Raw genomic sequence first — 19,413 nt, forward strand, 5'->3', positions numbered from 1 at the left:
AACATGAAACCCCATCTCTACTAAAACATACAAAAATTAGCTGGGCGTGGTGGCACGTGCCTGTAATCCCAGCTACTCGGGAGGCTGAGGCAGGAGGATTGCTTGAACCTGGGAGGCAGAGGCAGAGGTTGCAGTGAGCCAAAATCGTGCCATTGCACTCCAGCCTGGACAACAGAGTGAGACTCCACCTCAAAAAAAAAATGCAAAATACAAAAATTAGCCAGGCACGGTGTCAGGCAGCCTGTAATCCCAGCTATTTGGGAGGCTGAGGCACAAGAATCGCTTGAACTCTGGAGGTGGAGGTTGCAATGAGCTGAGATCATACCACTGCACTCCAGCCTGGGCGACAGAGCAAGACTCCGTCTCAAAAATAAATAAATAAACTGGTTATGGTTTTTGTCTGTTTGTTTGTTTCAGTGGAGTTTCGCTCTTGTTGCCCAGGCTGCAGTGCAATGGCACATTGTCTGCTCACCGCAACCTTCGCCTTCCAGGTTCAAGAGATTCTCCTGCCTCAGCCTCCCAAGTAGCTGGGATTACAGGCATACGCCACCATGCCCGGCTAATTTTGCATTTTTAGTAGAGACAGGGTTTCACCATGTTGGTCAGACTGGTCTCGAACTCCTGACCTCAGGTAATCTGCCTGCCTCGACCTCCCAAAGTGCTGGGATTACAGGCATGAGCCACCGCCTCCGGCAGTTTATGTTTTTAAATGGAAGAAAAAGAAGTATGTCAGGAGTATCCAGGGATCCCTACCTCAAACTCCTTCCTCCACACTACTTTTTCATCTCCAAGTTAGGTTTCCAACTCACTAAAGCATGTATTCATTATATATTCATTTGACTATTCAGCTCCTCAGACAAACTCACTGTATTCTAATCTCTGCTCAAATGTTACCGTCTCAAAAAGACCTTTCCTCTAAAGTAGCTTTCTTCTCCCCATCCCAGCACTCTCTATCCATAGCCTTCCTCAGCTTGATTTTTCTCCATAGCACTTTTTATCCCCTGACATTCTACTATACATATACGCGTTTACTTGTTCATTTTCTTCTCCCAGATCAGAATGTAAACTTCACGAGAGCAGGGATTTGGTTTCACTCTCTGCTGTATCCTTGCACCTAGCACAGTGCTCAGCAGCCAGTAGGCGCTGAATAATTGTTGAAGGACGACAGGTGTGCAGTGACTGTGTGCTGGGCATGGCAGATGCAAAGATGACTAAGACATTCTTGCAGCCTAGTGACATATGAGCTACAGGAAAGTGACTAACTGAGGGACACTGTCATAAGGGCAGGACTCAGCATGGCTGGCAGTAGGAAAAGGTGTTCTGTGAGATTCTAGATGGTCTTTGAAGGGACATTGAGACAGGTTTGCTCAAGGGGCAGTGAGAAGAGGCCTGCCTGGTTGGAGCAGCTAGTCCTGCCAAGGAAAAGAAAGAGGTGAGGGGTGAGGCTGGAGGAGTGAGGCCTGACCCTGTGGCTCAGCATGGGCCCTGGAATTAGATGGATCTGGCTGCCAGTCTTCCTTCCTCCCTGCCCTCACTCTGTCATCTTGGCAAGTCACTTCACCTCTCGGAACCTCCATTTCCGCATCTGTAAAATGGAGATCAGACAGTTCCTTCTTTCTAGGATTGTGCACAGATTACAAATAGTATCTCTATAAAGGGCCTGATATGTAGGAAGTGCTCAATCCATGGGAGCCATCACTATTCTTAACTTTTTCCTCTGAGCCATAGAGAGCCCTTGAAGGTTTTAGCGCAGGGGAGTGGCCTAAAGAAAGGGAGGTCCTTGGTGAAATCTCAGGAGAGCACAGGTTGGGCCTCTTGTGCTTGTCAACACCCAATTGCAGGCTAGCTGAAATCACACACATAAAGAAAACAATCCGGCAGGGCATGGTGGCTCATGCCTGTAATCCCAGCACTTTGGAAGGCTGAGATGGGCAGGTCACCTGAGGTCAAGAGTTTGAGACCAGCCTGGCCAACATGGTGAAACCCCGTCTCTACTAAAAATACAAAAATTAGCCAGGTGTGGTGGTGGGCACCTGTAATCCCAGCTACTCGGGAGACTGAGACAGGAGAATCACTTGAACCCAGGAGGCGGAGGTTGTAGTGAGCTGAGATCGTGCCACTGGACTCCAGCCTGGGCAATAAAGAACAAAACTCCGTCTCAAGAAAAAAAATAAAAATAAAAAAAGCCGGTGCATCCTTCCCTCTACTTTTCCTTCTATCAAATAACCATCAATGTTGTTCAGAGCAGCCACCCACCAGCTAAGTTCCAGAATGAGGAGGAGATGCTCCCAACTCCATTTTGCCAACAATGACACGTAGCATGAGCAATAAATAAAGCCTCTGAGATATAGGGGCTTTTTTTTTTTGAGACAAGTCTTGCTCTGTTGCCCAGGCTGGAGTGCAGTGGCATGATCTCAACTCATTGCAACCTCTGCCTCCTGGGTTCAAGTGATTCTCCTGCCTCAGCCTCCCAAGTAGCTGGGACTACAGGCGTGCACCACCATGCTCAGCTAATTATTGTATTTTTAGTAGAGACAGGGTTTCACCATCTTGGCCATGCTGGTCTCCAACTCCTGACCTCAAGTGATCTGCCCGCCTCGGCCGCCCAAAGTGCTGGAATTATAGGCATGAGCCACCGCGCCAGGCCAAGGGCTATTTTTAATACAGAAAACCTGGCCTATCCTTACTTATCATAAATATACCGTTCTGCAACTTGCTTTCTCCTGACATTATTTTTATAAGATATTTCCATAATGATACATGTGGCTCAAGTTTATTCATTTTCACTGCTGTGTAATATTTTATCATATAACTTGGCCTCACCTTTTAAAATCCTTTTTCCTAATGATGTCTATTTAAGTTTGTTCCAATTTTTTCCTCATACTGGTCCATAAATCCTTAGCTACAATTCAAATTCCAGGAAACCTAAAAATGGAAGGCTTTTTATAATTTATTTAGCAGCAAGATCTGACCTGATTTGAACTTCTTTAGTGGCAAAACCTGACCTGAATAGACAGAAAGCTATTTATAATCATTATGCCACTTAATGTGAATATTCATATGTTCCACTGAGGAAATATTTAGTGTTTTTTTTTTTGTTTTGTTTTGTTTTGTTTTTTTTTTTTTTTTTGAGACAGGGTCTCCCTCTGTCGCCCAGGCTGGAGTGCAGAGGCGCAATCACAGCTCACTGCAGCATCAACCTCCTGGGCTCAATCGATCCTCCTGCCTCAGCCTCCTGAACAGCTGGTACTACAGGCATGGGCCACCATACCGAGTTTAGATTTTTGCTTACAGGATGAACCAGTCCTCTCAAGGGGTATGATAGGAGATTTCATGAATGCACCATATTGTCTTTCAAAATTCTAAGAATTTCTTTTTTTTTTTCTTTTTTGAGACGGAGTTTCACTCTTTTTGCCCAGGCTGGAGTGCAATGGCCTGATCTCGGCTCACCGCAACCTCCGCCTCCCAGATTCAAGCAATTCTCCTGCCTCAGCCTCCTAAGTAGCTGGGATTACAGGCATGGACCACCATGCCCGGCTAATTTTGCATTTTTAGTAGAGACAGGGTTTCACCATATTGGTCAGGCTGGTCTCTAACTCCCAACCTCAGGTGATCCACCCACCTCGGCCTCCCAAAGTGCTGGGATTACAGGCATGAGCCACCACGCCCGGCCTCAAAATTCTAAGAATTTCTAAAATTCAAAACACGTTTAGCCCCAACGGCTTTGGATAAGGGATGGTGGACAGGCACAAACATGACTGCGATGTATGCGTGTGGCAGAATGTATTTTCCAAAGATGCCCTCAACAATATTTCCTGTCCTCATGCTCTTCTAGAACTTTCTCTAATTCCTCTTCCTGTGAATCTGGGTGGGATTGTGAATCATCTATAACCAATAAAAAGATGAAAATGGCCAGGTATAGTGGCTCATGTCTGTCATCCCAGCACTTTGGGAGGCTGAGGCAGGTGGATCATCTGAGGTCAGGAGTTCAAGACCAACCTGGCTGGCATGGTGAAACCCCATCTCTACTAAAAATACAAAAATTAGCCCAAGCGTGGTGGTGCATGCCTGTAATCCCAGCTACTTAGGAGGCTGAGGTGAGAGAATAGCTTGAACCTGGCAGGTGGAGGTTGCAGTGAGCCGAGATTCTGAGATTGCCCTACTGCACTCCAGCCTGGGAGACAGAGTAAGTGAGACTCTGTCTCAAAAAAAAAAAAAAAAAAAAAAAAAAAAAAGATGGAAATGATGCTGCACAATTTGTGAGGCAATGCAGCTTCTGACTTGATCACTGGGACACTCACCTTTGGAGCCTGGAACCCCTATGCTGTGAAGAAGCCCAGGCCAAGTGGAGAGGCCACATACAGATGCTCTGGTCAGCAGCCCTGGCAGAGGTTCCAGATGACAGCCAGCATCAGCCACCAAGCATGTCAGAGAACAAGGCTTTAGATGTCCCAACTCCCAGCTGTCAAGTCATCCTCACCCTTTAAACCTTCCCATCTAAAGCCCCAGACAAGCTGTCCCACTGTGCCCTTTCCAAAATGATAAAATGGTTATTGTTTTACACAACTAAATTTGGGATAATTTGTTATGCTGCAGCAGTAGTAACTGGAGCAACACGCTTTTTTTTTTTTTTTTTTTTGAGAGGGAGTCTTGCTTTTTTACCCAGGCTGAAGTGCAGTGGTGCAATCTCAGCTCACTGCAACCTTTGCCTCCTGGCTTCAAGTGATTCTCCTGCCTCAGTCTCCCAAGTAGCTGAGATTACAGGTGCACGCCACCACGCCCAGCTAATTTTCGTATTTTTAATAGAGACAGGGTTTCGTCGTGTCGTCCAGGCGGGTCTCGAACTCCTGACCTCAAGTGATTCCCCGCAGCCCCCTGCCTCGGCCTCCCAAAGTGTTGGAATTACAGGCATGAGCCACTGCAACTGGCTCAACACGCGTCTGTATGTAATTTGTGCATGTGGCAAAAATGTCTCCAGGTCACATGGTTTACAAGAGAGGATTTGGTGAACAGGTGAGGTATGCATATCTTCTGCTTTACTATTTTCCAAATTGTTCTCAAAAATGCTTGTAGCAATTTATATTCCTAGCAGCAGTGAAGGAGGGCTTCCTTTATTTCCTGCTTCACCCACCGTTACTGTAATCAGAATTTTCCAGGGTTTGGTCCTTCTGCCACCAATCCCCTCTGAAGAGAGAGAGTAAGGTAAAAGTTAGCAAAGGCCTCCAAGAGCTTTGATTCTGTACAGGACTATGTCTTTGCTGTCAAAAAAAACTGACTTATAGCCAGGCGCGGTAGCATGAGCCTGTAGTCCCACCTACTCGGGGGGCTGAGACAGGAGGATCACTTGAGTCCAAGAGTTCTGTGTTGTAGTGTACTATGTCATTTGGGTGTCTGCACTAAGTTCGGCATCAATACAGCAACCTCCCAGGATGGGGGGACCACCAGGTTGTCTAAGGAGGGATGAACCAGCCCAGGTTGGAAATGGAGCAGGTCAAAACTCCAGTGTTGATTAGTTGTGGGATTGCGCCTGTGAATAGCCACCGCACTCCAGCCTAGGCAACATTATGAGACCCTGCCTCTAAAATAATTAAAAAATTAAAAATAAAATAAAATAACCCGGGCATGGTGGCTCACGCCTGTAATCCCAGCACTTTGGGAGGCCAAGGCGGGCAGATCACCTGAGGCCAGGAGTTCAAGACCAGCTTGGCCAATGTGGTGAAACCCCGTCTCTACGAAAAATACAAAAATTAGCTGGGCGTGGTGGCCGGCGCCTGTAATTCCAGCTACTCAGGAGGCTGAGGCAGAGGTTGCAATGAGCTGAGATCACACCATCACACTCTAGCCTCGGCGACAACAGTGAAACTCTGTTTCAAAAAATAATAATAATAATAAAAATAAAAAATAAAAACTGACTTATATCCCTTCTCTAAATTCTCCTCAGTCTTTCCTATCCTGTAGAGGAAGGCCTAAGGCATGACAAGATTGCTCCTAGTATTGCCTGATATAACTCATTCTCTCATTCAACAGATATTAGTATTTATCAAGTACTGGCCGGGCATGGTGGCTCACACCTGTAATCCCAGCACTTTGGGAGGCCAAGACAGGCAGATCACTTGAGGTCAGGAGTTTGAGACCAGCCTGGCCTACATGGTGAAATCCCATCTCCACTAAAAATACAAAAAAATATATATATATATATAATTAGCCAGGTGTAGCGGCAGGTGCCGGTAATCCCAGGTACTCGGGAGGCTGAGGCATGGGAATCGCTTGAATCTGGAAGGCAGAGGTTGCAGTGAGCCAAGGTCGCCCCACTGCACTCCAGCCTGGGTGATAGAGTGAGACTCTGTCTCAAAAAAAAGAAAAAATAATAATATTTATCAAGTACCAAACTAGATGCCAGACATTTTTCTAGATGCTAAGAGAAAATTATGATGATAATAATGATGATGCCACTGCCATCTAGGGACCAGGTATTTACTGAATTTTTTAGTCACCCAGCATCCATTCACTTGACTTCTGAAACAGCCAGATTTCCTTCTCTCCTTGTTTTCAGTCTATGTGGTTCTCTGAGGTTGTTAACTCCATTTCCATCTCCAGACATGATATGAACTAGCCTGGCCAGTCAGAATATTATATTCCTTTTGCAACAGTGATTGGTTCAGGGCTGAGCAGACCAGCCAGAGCCAATGATGCTAAATGTCCAGCTTTCTTTGTGCCTTTGGAGAGGCCAACTTTCTCTTTCATGCTAGACATAAACATGACAGGTTGTGAGGCCACAGCAATGGCAACTGTTTTATCAACATGTGGAACCTGAGAATGAAATGAGCATATAAACAGACTGATACAAACAGCAAAGAGAAATTGAGTCCTAATGATATAGTTTGACTCTTGAATTCACCTAGTCCTAACCTGCCTTTCTTTCCTTCCCCAGTTTTGCATCTGCTGAGGTTTTTACAAGTGTGTTTTTTTAATTTTAATTGAATCATAGCACACATACAGAAAAATACACATTGTAACAAAAGTATAGTTTGCTAAATTTTTACAAATGGAATTACCCATTTAACCAACATTCACATCAAGAAATAAGGACATGATATGATGTATACATGTACATCACATATGTATAGGTATGTATATGTATATGATATGTGTATGTATATGATGTACATGGTCTCCAATTTATGATAGTTTGACATACCACTTTTTGATTTCATGATGGTGAGAAAGTGATACATATTCAGTAGAAACTGGACTTCAAGAAGGCCGGGCGCAGTGGCTCATGCCTGTAATCCCAGCACTTTTGCAGGCCGAGGCGGGTGGATCACTTGAGGTCAGGAGTTTAAGACCAGCCTGGTCAACATGGTGAAGCCCCATCTCTACTGAAAATACAAAAAATTAGCCAGGCATGGTGGTGCGCACCTGTAATCCTAGCTACTTGGGAGGCTGAGGCAGGAGATTAGCTTGAACCCAGGAGGCGAGGTAGCTATGAGCCGAGACTGCCCCACTGCACTCCAGCCTGGGTGAGAGAACAAGACTTCATCTCACAAAAAAAAAAAAAAAGAAAGAAACTGGACTTCAAGTACCTATACAACCACTCTGTTTTTCAGTTTCAGTACAGTGTTCAATAAATGATATGAGATATTCAACACTTGATTATAAAATAGGCATTGTGTTAATTTTACCCAACTTTAGGCTAATATAAGTGTTCCGAGCACATTTAAGGTGGACTAGGCTAAACTAAGATGTTTGGTAGGTTAGGTGGATTAATGCATTTTCAATTTACGGTATTTTCAGCTCACAATGGGTTTAGCAAGATGTAGCTCCTCTGTATGTTGAGGAGGACCTGTGCTGTTCTGTCTGGCTCCGTTTGCTCACCATGTTTGTGAGATTCATGCATACCGATGAGTGAGATTGTAAAACCATTCATTTTAATTGCTGAATAGTATCCTGTTGTGTGAATACACCATAGTTTACTTTCCAGTCAACTGCTGTCATCTGGCATTTGGATCGTTTCTAGTTAGAGGATACTAGGAATAAAGCTGCTATAAGCTCCCTGGGACAGTGGCTCTCAGGCTTGTGAAATACTCTCTTGATGTAGTGTATTAGTCAGGCATAGCTGGGGGGCTCACATGATATCAGCAGCCTTAGTTTCTCTCAATATCTTAGTTCTGCTTCCCTCTGAGTTGGTTTCATCAGATTCATGTGTTCCTCCTGACCAGCTTATTCTCAGCTGCTCCAGGCTTCCATTCCCCAGCCCAGTCACTTAGCCAAAAAAAAGAAATTTTATAATAAAGTCTCATTGGTCTGGCTTCATTCATATGTTCCTCCCCGAACCGATCCCTGTGATTAAAGGGATGGAGTGTGCTGATTGGACAGAAGTGGTCACATACCCACTCCCCAACCTGCCCCCACCCTGGAGCCAGGAAGCAAGATCAGCTTCCTGTGAACCACAAGGTTGATGTAGGGAGGGGTGGCTCCCCGAGGGGAAATCAAAGTGCAATTATTCAAGTGGAATTGTTGCTGGGCAGGCAAAAACAACAGATATTTGTGGACCACACCAACTTTTTTTTCAATGCCTTCATGCCTTTAGGTGCTCTGTTTCTGCTACCAGGAAATACTGTGTTCTCTTTCTCCTCATCCTCTAAGATCCAGCTTAAATATTTTTCCCATCCTAAAACCTCCCAGAATTTTTGGACTTGATTCTGGATGGATGTTCTTTTTTTCTTTCTTTCTTTTAAGACGGAGTCTCGCTCTGTTGCCCAAGCTGGAGTGCAGTGGCGCTATCTCGGCTCACTGCAACCTCCGCCTCCCAGGTTCAAGCAATTCTGCTGCCTCAGCCTCCTGAGTAGCTGGGATTACAGGCGCATGCCACCATGCCTGGCTAATTTTTTGTATTTTTACTAGATACAGGATTTCGCCATGTTGGCCAGGCTGGTCTCGAACTTCTGACCTCAGGTGATCTGCCCACCTTGGCCTCCCAAAGTGCTGGGATTAGAAAGGCCTGAGCCACCCCGCCCGGCCTGGATGGATGTTCTTAACCTCCATTTACTCTCCTTCTGTTGAAAGAGGCTCAAAAGCTTAAAACAGCATTCCACAGGCTCTCTTGCAGCTATGACAGTGGGAAGTTAAATTCTGTCAGTTAGATTCATTTGCATGAGATCTGGAGGATGGGAGAGAGGGAGAGGTCGTCTTGCTGGAGCTGTGTCAGCTAAGGGAGCGGTTCTGCAGGTGGGAGGAGCATGTACAGTGGAGTCCACTGTGCAGTCCCCACTTAGGAGGGTGTGAGGTAGTAGGATGGAGGCCATGGTGGTGGCAGGGAAGCAGCAGTTTGGTAACCTTGGGAACAAGGCCTTGCTGGAGGAACCTTGAAATCAAAAGCCTGAAATGGCCCCTGACTTCTACTCTTCCAGACCTCCTAATGATTTTGTAAGCACCTATATCCCTGTATTAAATCTTTTTTATTTATTATTATTATTATTTAAATTATAGACACAGAGTCTTATACTGTTGCCCAGGCTGGTCTCAAACTCCGGGCTTCAAGCAATCCTCCCACTTGGGCCTCCCAAAACACTGGGATCACAGGTGTCCAGCCTCAAAATTCTTTTTTGGGCCAGGTGCGGTTGCTTCCACCTGTAATCCCAGCACTTTGGGAGGCTAAGGTGGGTAGATCACTTGAGGCCAGGAGTTCGAGACCAGTCTGGCCAATATTGTGAAACCCCATCTCTACTAAAAATACAAAAATTAGCCAGGCATGGTGGCCCATGCCTGTAATCCCAGCTACTCGGGAGGCTGAAGAAGGAGAATCGCTTGAAACTGGGAGGCAGAGGTGCAGTGAGTCAAGATCATGCCGCTGCACTCCAGCCTCGGTGACAGAGAGAAACTGTGTCTCAAAAAAATACAATAAAATAAAAGATTTTTTAAAAAAGCACTTGAATAGCACTTACTCTGTGTCAGGCACTAGTCTAAGCACTTTATTAAAAATTTATGGACCAGACATGGTGGCTCATGCCTGTAATCCCAACTCTTTGGGAGGGCAAAGCAGGCAGATCACTTGAGGTCAGGAGTTCAAGACCAGCTCGAACAACATGGTGAAACCCCATCTCTACTAAAAATACAAAAATTAGCTGAGCATGGTGGTGTGTGTCTGAAATCCCAGCTACTCGGGAGGCTGACGAAGGAGAATATCTTGAACCCGGGAGGTGGAGGTTGCAGTGAGCTGAGATCGCACCACTGCACTCTAGCCTGGGCAACAAGAGTGAAACTCCATCTCAAAAAAAAAAAAAAAATTTACAACCAGGCATGGTGGTTCACACCTGTAATCCCAGCACTTTGGCAGGCCGAGGCGGGTGGATCCCCTGAGGTCTGGAGTTCAAGACCAGCTTGGCCTACATGGTGAAACCCCACCTCTACTAAAAATAAAAAATTAGTTGGATGTGGTGGCACACACCTGTATTCCCAGCTACTCCGGAGGCTGAGGCAGGAGAATTGCTTGAATCCAGGAGGTGGATGTTGCAGTGAGCCAAGATCCTGCCACTGCACTCTAGACTGGGTGACAGAGTGAGACTTCGTCTCAAAAAAAAAGAAAAAAAAAATTTACTTAATGGGCTGGGTGTGGTGGCTCCTGCCTGTAATCCCAGCACTTTGGGAGGTCAAAGGGGACAGATCACGTGAATCCAGGAGTTCAAGACCAGCCTGGCCAACATAGCCAGCCAAATTTCATCTCTACTAAAAAATACAAAAAATTAGCTGGGCCGTGGTGGCATGCGCCTGTAGTCCCAGCTACTCAGGAGGCTGAAGCAGGAGAATGGCTTGAACCTGGGAGGCAGGGGTTGCAGTGAGCCCAGATCGCTCCATTGCACTCCATCCTGGTGACACAGCGAGACCCTGTCTCAAAACAAAACAATACAAACCACTGAACAAACAAAACCCTTAATCTTTACAACAACATTTTGAGGTAAGTACTACTGCCACCCTCATTTGCAGATGAGGAAATAAAAGTCTAGAAGGATTAAGAAATTTGCCCAAGGTCACACAACTGGTTTCTTATAAATTATGTAAGGTTATGGGTAGATTTCATAATGCCATGGGGAATGCTCTTGATGGGAACGACTGTCCTTGAAGGCAAGCACTGTCTTTTTTTCATATTTGCACCGCAGTGCCTAAATTAGCACCCTAAGCACTTGATAGGTGTTTGGTAAATATTGGTTGAATGAATTAATGAAACTATTTATGAATTCAGCTGAGTCTGCTGTGAAAAGAAAAAAAAACTAAATATTAAAAGGAATTCAGAGTATATTTTCCCACTAGAGCACAGGTGAGCAAAGTTCTTTTATAAAGAGGCAGAGAGTAATTTTTTTGTTTGTTTTTTTGAGAAAGAGTCTCACTCTGTCACCCAGGCTGGAGTGCAGTCACATGATCACTGCAGCCTGGACCTCTTGGGCTCAAGTGATCCTCCCACCTTAGCCTCCCAAGTAACTGGGACACAGACTTACAACACTATGCCTGGCAAAGATTTTTTATTTTTTTCTATAGAAACAAGGTGTCACTATATTACCCAGGCTGGTCTCAAACTCCTGGCCTCAAGTGATCCTCCCACCTTAGCCTCCCAAAGGGCTGGGATTAGAGATAGTAAATTTTTTTTTTTTTCGAGATGGAGTCTCGCTCTGTTGCCCAGGCTGCAGTGCAGTGGTTTGATCTCAACTCACTGTAGTCTCCGCCTCCAGGGTTCAAGCAATTCTCCTGCCTCAGCCTCCTGAGTAGCTGGGACCACCATGTGCCATCACACCCAGCTAATTTTTGTATTTTTGGTAGAGATAGGGTTTCACCATTTTGGCTAGGGTGGTCTCCAGCTCCTGGCCTCAAATAATCTGCCTGTCTCAGCCTCCCCAAGTGCTGAGATTATAGGCATGAGCCACTGTGCCCAGCCAAGACAGTAAATATTTTTTATTTTACTGGCTGTACAATCTTTGGCACAGTCAATTAATTCTGCTATTCTATCACAAAGGCAGCCATAGCCACTATGTAAACAAAGGAGTGTGTTTCTGTTCCAATAAAACTTTATTTACAAAGACAAGTAGCAGACCAGATTTGGCTCATGGATTGTACTTTGCTGACCTTGCCCTATAAGATGAGTTTTAATATATCAAAAGATTTACTGTAGATTACTGTACTTAGTAAAATCTTTTTTTGCTTTGTTTTGAAAAAATTATTTTATTTTATTATTTTTTTTGAGACAGAGTCTCACTCTGTCTCCCAGGTTGGAGTGCAGTGGCTCGATCTTGGCTCACTGCAATCTCGGCCTGCCAGGTTCAAGCGATTCTCCTGCCTCAGCCTCCTGAGTAGCTGTGATTACAGGTGTGTGCCACCACGCCCGGCTAATTTTTGTATTTTTAGGAGAGACAAGGTTTCGCCATGTTGGCCAGGCTGATCTCGAACTCCTGACCTCAGGCGATCTGCCTGTCTCAGCTTTCCAAAGTGCTGGAATTACAGGTGTGAGCCACCATCCCCTGCCCTCTCCAACATGTAAGTAGGGAATATAGAGCTAACGTTTCAATATTGTATTTCATTTATTTTTATTTTTTTGAAAAACAAATCTTTATTGTCTAGAAATATATATTTTAAAAATCCCCCACAAAAGATGCTATTCTCTAATTTCCCCATCTTCTTTTTCTTTCTTTTTTTTTAAGACAGAGTCTTCCTCTGTCACCCAGGCTGGAGTGCAGTAGTGTGATCTCCACTGCAAACTCTGCCTCCTGGGTTCAAGCGATTCTCCTGCCTTAGCCTCTTGAGTAGCTGGAATTACAGGCATGTGCCACCACACCCGGCTAATTTTTGTATTTTTGTAGAGATGGGGTTTCACCTTGTTGGCCAAGCTGGTCTTGAACTCCTGACCTCAAGTGATTCACCCGCCTCAGCCTCCCAATCATTTCTCCATCTTCTTCCTCTTCTTCCACACCTCTGATATAAAGGACATTATTACACCTTATTAAAACTTCACCCAGATGTCCAGACAATGCTCCATCTATGTATTCTTCTGTATTTGCAAGCTGCATGTTCATGTAGCCATCTACAGATACCAGGTAGCCCTAGTACTCCATTCCCCGCTTAAGTTTCACCATCCTTGGCTTTCCTGTTACTCCACTGAGGAAAGATCTGGGATTGAGACATAAACTCATCATCGTAACCACAGGCAAATGCTATGGGCAAATGCTGCAGGCCGCTGACCAGGCTGACCAGGCTACTGACTACAGCAGCTACCACAGGTCCTGAGCCACTGAGCATCAGGAGAAAACTATGTTCAAGATTTTATAGTAAGAAATGTATTTGGTAACATTCCATGATTTTATGCCATAGAAGGCTCAGCCAACATTCCATGATTCCACATAGAAGGGGGTTTAGCTAACATTCCTTAAGTCTGTACAGATGAGGGTGCTCTGTAGACATTCCATAACGATAAGCAAAAAGGTTCTGCAAACATTCAATGATTTTATACATGGACAGATGTTCTGCAAACGGTTCAAAATTCATGCTACAAGAAAGGATTCTAGCCAGGCGCGGTGGCTCACACCCGTATTCCCAGCACTTTGGGAGGCTGAGGCGGTCAGATCACCTGAGGTCAGGAGTTTGCGACCAGTCTGGCCAACATGGTGAAACCCTGTCTTCACTAAAAATACAAAAAATAGCCGGCCATGGTGATGGGAACCTGTAATCCCAGCGACTTGGGAGGCTGAGGCATGATAATCACTTGAACCCGGGAGGTGGAGATTGCAGTGAACCAAGATCGCGCCACTGTACTCCAGTGAGGGTGACAGAGCGAGACTCCATCTCAAGAAAAGAAAAGAAAGGACTCTGTAAACATTCCATGATTCTGTATACATGTGGGTGTTCCTCAAAAACAGTTCATAATTTGATTTTTTAATTTTATTATTTTTATTTATTTTTTTGAGATGGAGTCTCACTCTGCCAGCCCGGCTGGAGTGCAGTGGCACGATCTTGACTCACTGCAACCTCTGCCTCTCAGGTTCAAGCGATTCTCCTGCCTCAACCTCCCAAGTAGCTGGGATTACAGGCATGGGCCACCACGCCTGGCTAATTTTTGTATTTTTTGTAGAGAAGAGGTTTCACCATGTTGGCCAGGCTGGTCTCAAACTCCTGACCTCACGTGATCTGCCCGCCCTGGCCTCCCAAAGTTCTGGGATTACAGGCGTGAGCCACTGCTCCCGGCCGACAGTTCATAATTCCATATACAAGAAGGAAAACTTATTTGTTCTGACACCCTGAAATTCTGTACACAGGAAGTGCTCTGTAAACATTTATGATTTCATTGCTATGAATAGGCTTTATAGATATTACATAATTCTAATAGATAGAAATGGGCTATATAGAACTTCTTGATTTTATGCTTTTGTACACAGTTGGTGATTCTATAGCCGAAGAGCACTCTTCAAACAATTAATGATTCTACCTAAAGGAGGGTACAGGTTTCCCTGAACCTACCTAGAACAAAGGGTACTCTGTAAAGATTCCATAATACTAAACATAGGCAACTCTGCCTGCTGTTAATGACACTACAGATAGAAGGGTATTCTGTAAATATTCCTTGATTTCATGGCCCAGTGAGGTGGTTTATGCCTGTAATCCCAGCCATTTGGGAGGCCGAGGTGGGTGGATCGCCTGAGCTCAGGAGTTTGAGACCAGCCTGGGCAATATGGTGAAACCCCATCTCTACTAAAAATACAAAAATTAGCCAGGTGTGGTGGTGGTGAAACCCCATCTCTACTAAAAATACAAAAATTAGCCAGGTGGGCGCCTGTAATCCCAGCTGCCTGGGATGGTGAGACAGTAGAATCGTTTGAACCTGGGAGGCAAAGGTTGCAGCGAGCCGAGACCGCGCCATTGCACTCCAGCCTGGGAGACAAGAGCGAAACTCAGTCTCAAAAATAAATAAATAAATAAAAATACAAAAATTAGCTGGGCAGGATGGCACACACCTGTAATCCCAGCTTCAAAGGAGTCTGAGGCAAGAGAATTGCTGGAACCCAAGAGGAAGAGATTGCAGTGAGCTAAGATTGAGCCACTGCACTCCAGCCTGGTCGACAGAGTGAGACTGTCTCAAAAAAAAAAAAAAAAAAGGATGATGAAGCTGTCTACATAAGGATGTAGAAAAGTCTCTAAGATACAGTGTTAGGTTAAAAAGTAATTGTGGGGCCGGTCGCGGTGGCTCACACCTGTAATCCCAGCACTTTGGGAGGCCAAGGCAGGTGGATCACAAGGTCAGGAGTTCGAGACCATCCTGCCGAACACGGTGAAACTTCATTTCTACTAAAAATGCAAAAAAATTACCCGGGCCTGGTGGTGGGCGCCTGTAGTCCCAGTTACTTGGGAGGCTGAGGCAGGAGAATGGCGTGAACCTGGGAGGCAGAGCTTGCAGTGAGCTGAGATTGCGCCACTGCACTCCAGCCTGGGTGACAGAGTGAGACTCCATCTCAAAAAAAAAAAAAAAAAAAAGTAATTGTGTATCTATATAAAATTGAATATATATATACATATACATATGGAGTTGGATCACAAGGTCAGGAGATTGAGATCATCCTGCCCAACATGGTGAAATTCTGTCTCTACTAAAAACACAAAAATTACCCGCATGTGGTGGCGCATGCCCATAGTCTCAGCTACTCGGGAGACTGAGGCAGGAGAATCGCTTGAACCTGGGAGGCGGAGGCTGCAGTGAGCCGAGATTGCGCCACTGCACTCCAGCCTGGTGACAGAGCGAGACTCTGTCTCAAAAAAAGAAAATAAATAAAAACAAATAAATTAATTTATTAAATTAAATAAATGCAGTGTCAGGGTCTATATAATTTTTTTATTTTTTTATTTTTTTATTTTTGAGACAGTCTTGCTCTGTTGTCAGGCTGGAGTGCAGTCACGGGATTTTGGCTTACTGCAACTTCTGCCTCCTGGGTTCAAGTGATTCTCCTGCCTCAGCCTCCCAAGTAGCTGAGACTACAGGTGTGTACCACCATGCTCAGAAAATTTTTGTATTTTTAGTAGGGACGGGGTTTCACCATGTTGGCCAGGCTGGTCTTGAACTTCTAGCCTCAAGAGATCCGCCTGCCTCGGCCTCCCGAAATGCTGGGATTACAGGCATGAGCCACCTTTTTTTTTTTTTGGCTTTTAAATAAAAGCCCGCCAGGCTTTTTTTTTTTTTTTTGGCTTTTAAATAAAAAGAGACAGGATCCCAATATGTCGCCCAGGCTGGAGTGCAGTGGAGAATCCAGTTTTAAAGAGAGCATTCAAGCAAGAAGCTGTGAATGGCCACTCGGAAACACAGACTCCAGAGAAGTGGGGTGAGAACTCAAAAGTTAAAAGTTAGGGTCTTGCTTAGGTAGGAAGAAAACAAAGAAATTTAACAGGATTATGACTTGTTTTTTAAAAGAGATGGGGTCTCACTCTGTTGCCCAGGCTGGAATGTAGTGGTGTGATCAGGACTCACTGCAGCTTCAAACTCCTGGGCTCAAGCCATCCTCCCATCTCAGCCTCCTAAGTGGCTGGGATTACAGGCATGAACCACTGAACCTGCCTTCATTACATTTTCTATACAAGGCTGGTTTATGAGCTACAACAATTTAATTAGTTATGGTTTGTTTTTATTTCCTTTCTAGAAATACACTTAAAGAGTGTATTTGACATTCCATCTCAAGACAGTATGATGATAGTCATGAAGTCTTTGTGTGAGAAAGGTAAGAGGGAAGTTATTATACAATGAAGATGAACAGTGAAGAGGAAAGGGGTCTTCTCTGGTGCCCTTTAGTCATTTACAATATTTTCTTTCTTTCTTTTTTTTTTTTGAAACGGAGTCTCGCTGTGTCGCCAGGCTGGAGTCAGTGGTACAATCTCAGCTCACTGCAACCTCTGCAGGATTCTCTGAGGCAGGAGAATCGGGTTCAAGCGATTCTCCTGCCTCAGCCTCCTGAGTAGCTGGGACTACAGGCGCACGCTACCACACCCAGCTAATTTTTGTATTTTTAGTAGAGACAGGGTTTCACCATGTTGGCCAGGATGGTCTCATCTCTTGACCTCGTGATCCGCCCGCCTTGGCCTCCCAGAGTGCTGGGATTACAGGCGTGAGCCATTGTGCCCGGCCGTTTACAATACTTTCTAAAACAATGTAGGTAGAGAAGAGGGCTAATTATAATCAAACAAACAAAGGTAACGCCTGCCTAGGTTACAGCTGAGTAGGTTCAGAAGACTTGTGTCCCACAATCACATTCCCTTAAGGCTTGAAATATTTTAAAGTCTCAACAGCTCAGATTTTGAAATACTTATTTTCACACTTCCCTGCTTAAAAGTTTCTCAAGGACCACTGCGCCTGGCCCAGATGGTTGTATTCTTTTGAGTTTCTGATTGGCCTCTCCAAAGGAGCCAAAGAGATATGCATTTATCTCAGTGAGCAGAGGGGTGACTTTGAATAGAATGGGAGGCAGGTTGGCCCTAAGCAGTTCCCAGCTTGACTTTTCCCTTTAGCTTAGGGATCTGGGGGCCCTAAGATTTATTTTCCTTTCACAGCATCATAGCCAAAAGTGGAAAAAAGTTACTGGGTGCAGTGGCTCATACCTGTAATTCCAGCACTTTAGGAGGCCGAGGTGGGTGGATCACTTGAGGTCAGGAGATCGAGACCAGCCTGGCCAACATGGTGAAACCCCGTCTCTACTAAAAATACAAAAAAATTAGCCAGGGGTGGTGGCAGGCGCCTGTAATCCCAGCTACTTGGGAGGCTGAGGCACAAGAATCACTTGAATCCGGGAGGCGGAGGTTGCAGTGAGCTGAGCTGAGATCCTGTCACTGCACTTCAGCCTGGATGACAGCGAGATTCCGTGTCAAAAAAAAAAAAAAAAAAAAAAAAAGCTGGTGGCGGGGAGCGGGGAGAGGAAGGTGAGAACAATCGAAATACCATCAACTGATGAATGGATAAACAAAATATAGTATAGGCATACAATGGAAAATTAGCCAAAAATAAAATAAAATAAAATAAAATAAAAGATGAGGCGGGGCTTGGTGGCTCATTCCTGTAATTCTACCACTTTGGGAAGCTGAGACAGGAGGATCACTCAGCCCAGGAGTTTGAGACCATCCAGGGCAACATGGTGAGATATCATCTCTACAAAAAAATTTTTTTTAATTAGCCAGGTGTAGTGGTGTGCACCTATGGTCTCAGCTACTCAGGAGGCTGAAGTGGGAGGATCATTTGAGCAGGGGAGGTTGAGGCTGCAGTGAGCCTCGATTGCACCATTGCACTCCAGCCTGGGCAACAGAGTGAGTCCTTGTCTCAAAAGAGGAAAATGAAGAATGATGTACTGAAAGAAGTATGCTACATGCTACAATGTGCATGAACCTTTTTTTTTTTTTGAGACAGGGTCTTACTCTTAGGCTCAAGTGATCCTCCTCCCTCAGCCTTCTGAGTAGCTGGGGTTACAGGCATCTACCTCGGCATAAGCGGGCATTAATCTTTTTACTTTATTTTTATTTTTGAGACAGGGTCTCACTCTGTCACCCATGCTGGAGTGAAGTGGCACAATCATGGCTCACTGCAGCCTCCAACTGTTAGCCCCAAGACATCTTCCTGCTTCTGTCCCCCACGTACCTAGGACCACAGGTGCATGCCACTATGCCCAGCTATTTAAAAATTGTTTTGTAGAGATGAGGTTTTACTATGTTGCCCAGGCTGGTCTTGAACTCCTGGGCTCAAGTGATCCTCCCCACTTGGCCTCCCAAAATGCTGGGATTACAGGCATGAGTCACTGTGACTGGCCAGGCATCCATCTTGAAAACATTATGCTAAATAAGAGAAGCCAGACACAAAAGGCCACATACTGTATGATTCTATTTCTAGGAAATGTACAGAATAGGCAAATCTATTATAGATGATTAGTTGTCTAAGACTGAGAGCATGGGGAGAGATGGGGAATGACTGCTAAATGGTATGGGGCTTCTTAAGGGGGTGATGAAAATGTTCTAAAATTGATTGTGGTGTGGTTGCACAACTCTGTGAATATACTAAAAACCATTAGATTGAATATTTATTTATTTATTTAGAGACAGAGTCTCGCTCTGTTGCCAGACTGGAGTGCAGTGGCACAATCTCAGCTCACCGTCACCTCCGCCTCCCGGGTTCAAGTGATTCTCCTGACTCAGCCTCCTGAGTAGCTGGGATTACAGGTGTGCGCCACCATGCCTGGCTAATTTTTGTATTTTTAGTAGAGATGGAGTTTCACCATGTTGGCCAGGCTGGTCTTGAACTCCTGACCTCCGGTGATCTGCCCACCTCAGTCTCCCAAAGTGCTGGGGTTACAGGATGAGCCACCGCATCCGGCAGATTGAATACTTTAAATGGAAAAATCGTATCGCATGTAAATT

The 19,413-nt window shown here is 45.0% G+C and overlaps 2 pseudogenes, besides 1 other annotated feature; one reads left to right on the forward strand and one right to left on the reverse strand.

The window, feature by feature from the left end:
• Positions 5,282-5,580, forward strand: RN7SL197P (RNA, 7SL, cytoplasmic 197, pseudogene; annotated as a pseudogene).
• Positions 11,045-11,339: a silencer, noted in NCBI's record as "tiled region #10962; HepG2 Repressive DNase matched - State 8:EnhW". NCBI's record gives its function as "represses a minimal TATA promoter and a strong SV40 promoter by Sharpr-MPRA in HepG2 cells {active_cell/tissue: HepG2}" and the evidence as "EXISTENCE:reporter gene assay evidence [ECO:0000049][PMID:27701403]".
• SNRPFP1 (small nuclear ribonucleoprotein polypeptide F pseudogene 1) lies at positions 12,905-13,272 on the reverse strand (annotated as a pseudogene).

The sequence above is a fragment of the Homo sapiens genome, chromosome 20, assembly GCF_000001405.40.
Source record: "Homo sapiens chromosome 20, GRCh38.p14 Primary Assembly".
NCBI lineage: Eukaryota > Metazoa > Chordata > Mammalia > Primates > Hominidae > Homo > Homo sapiens.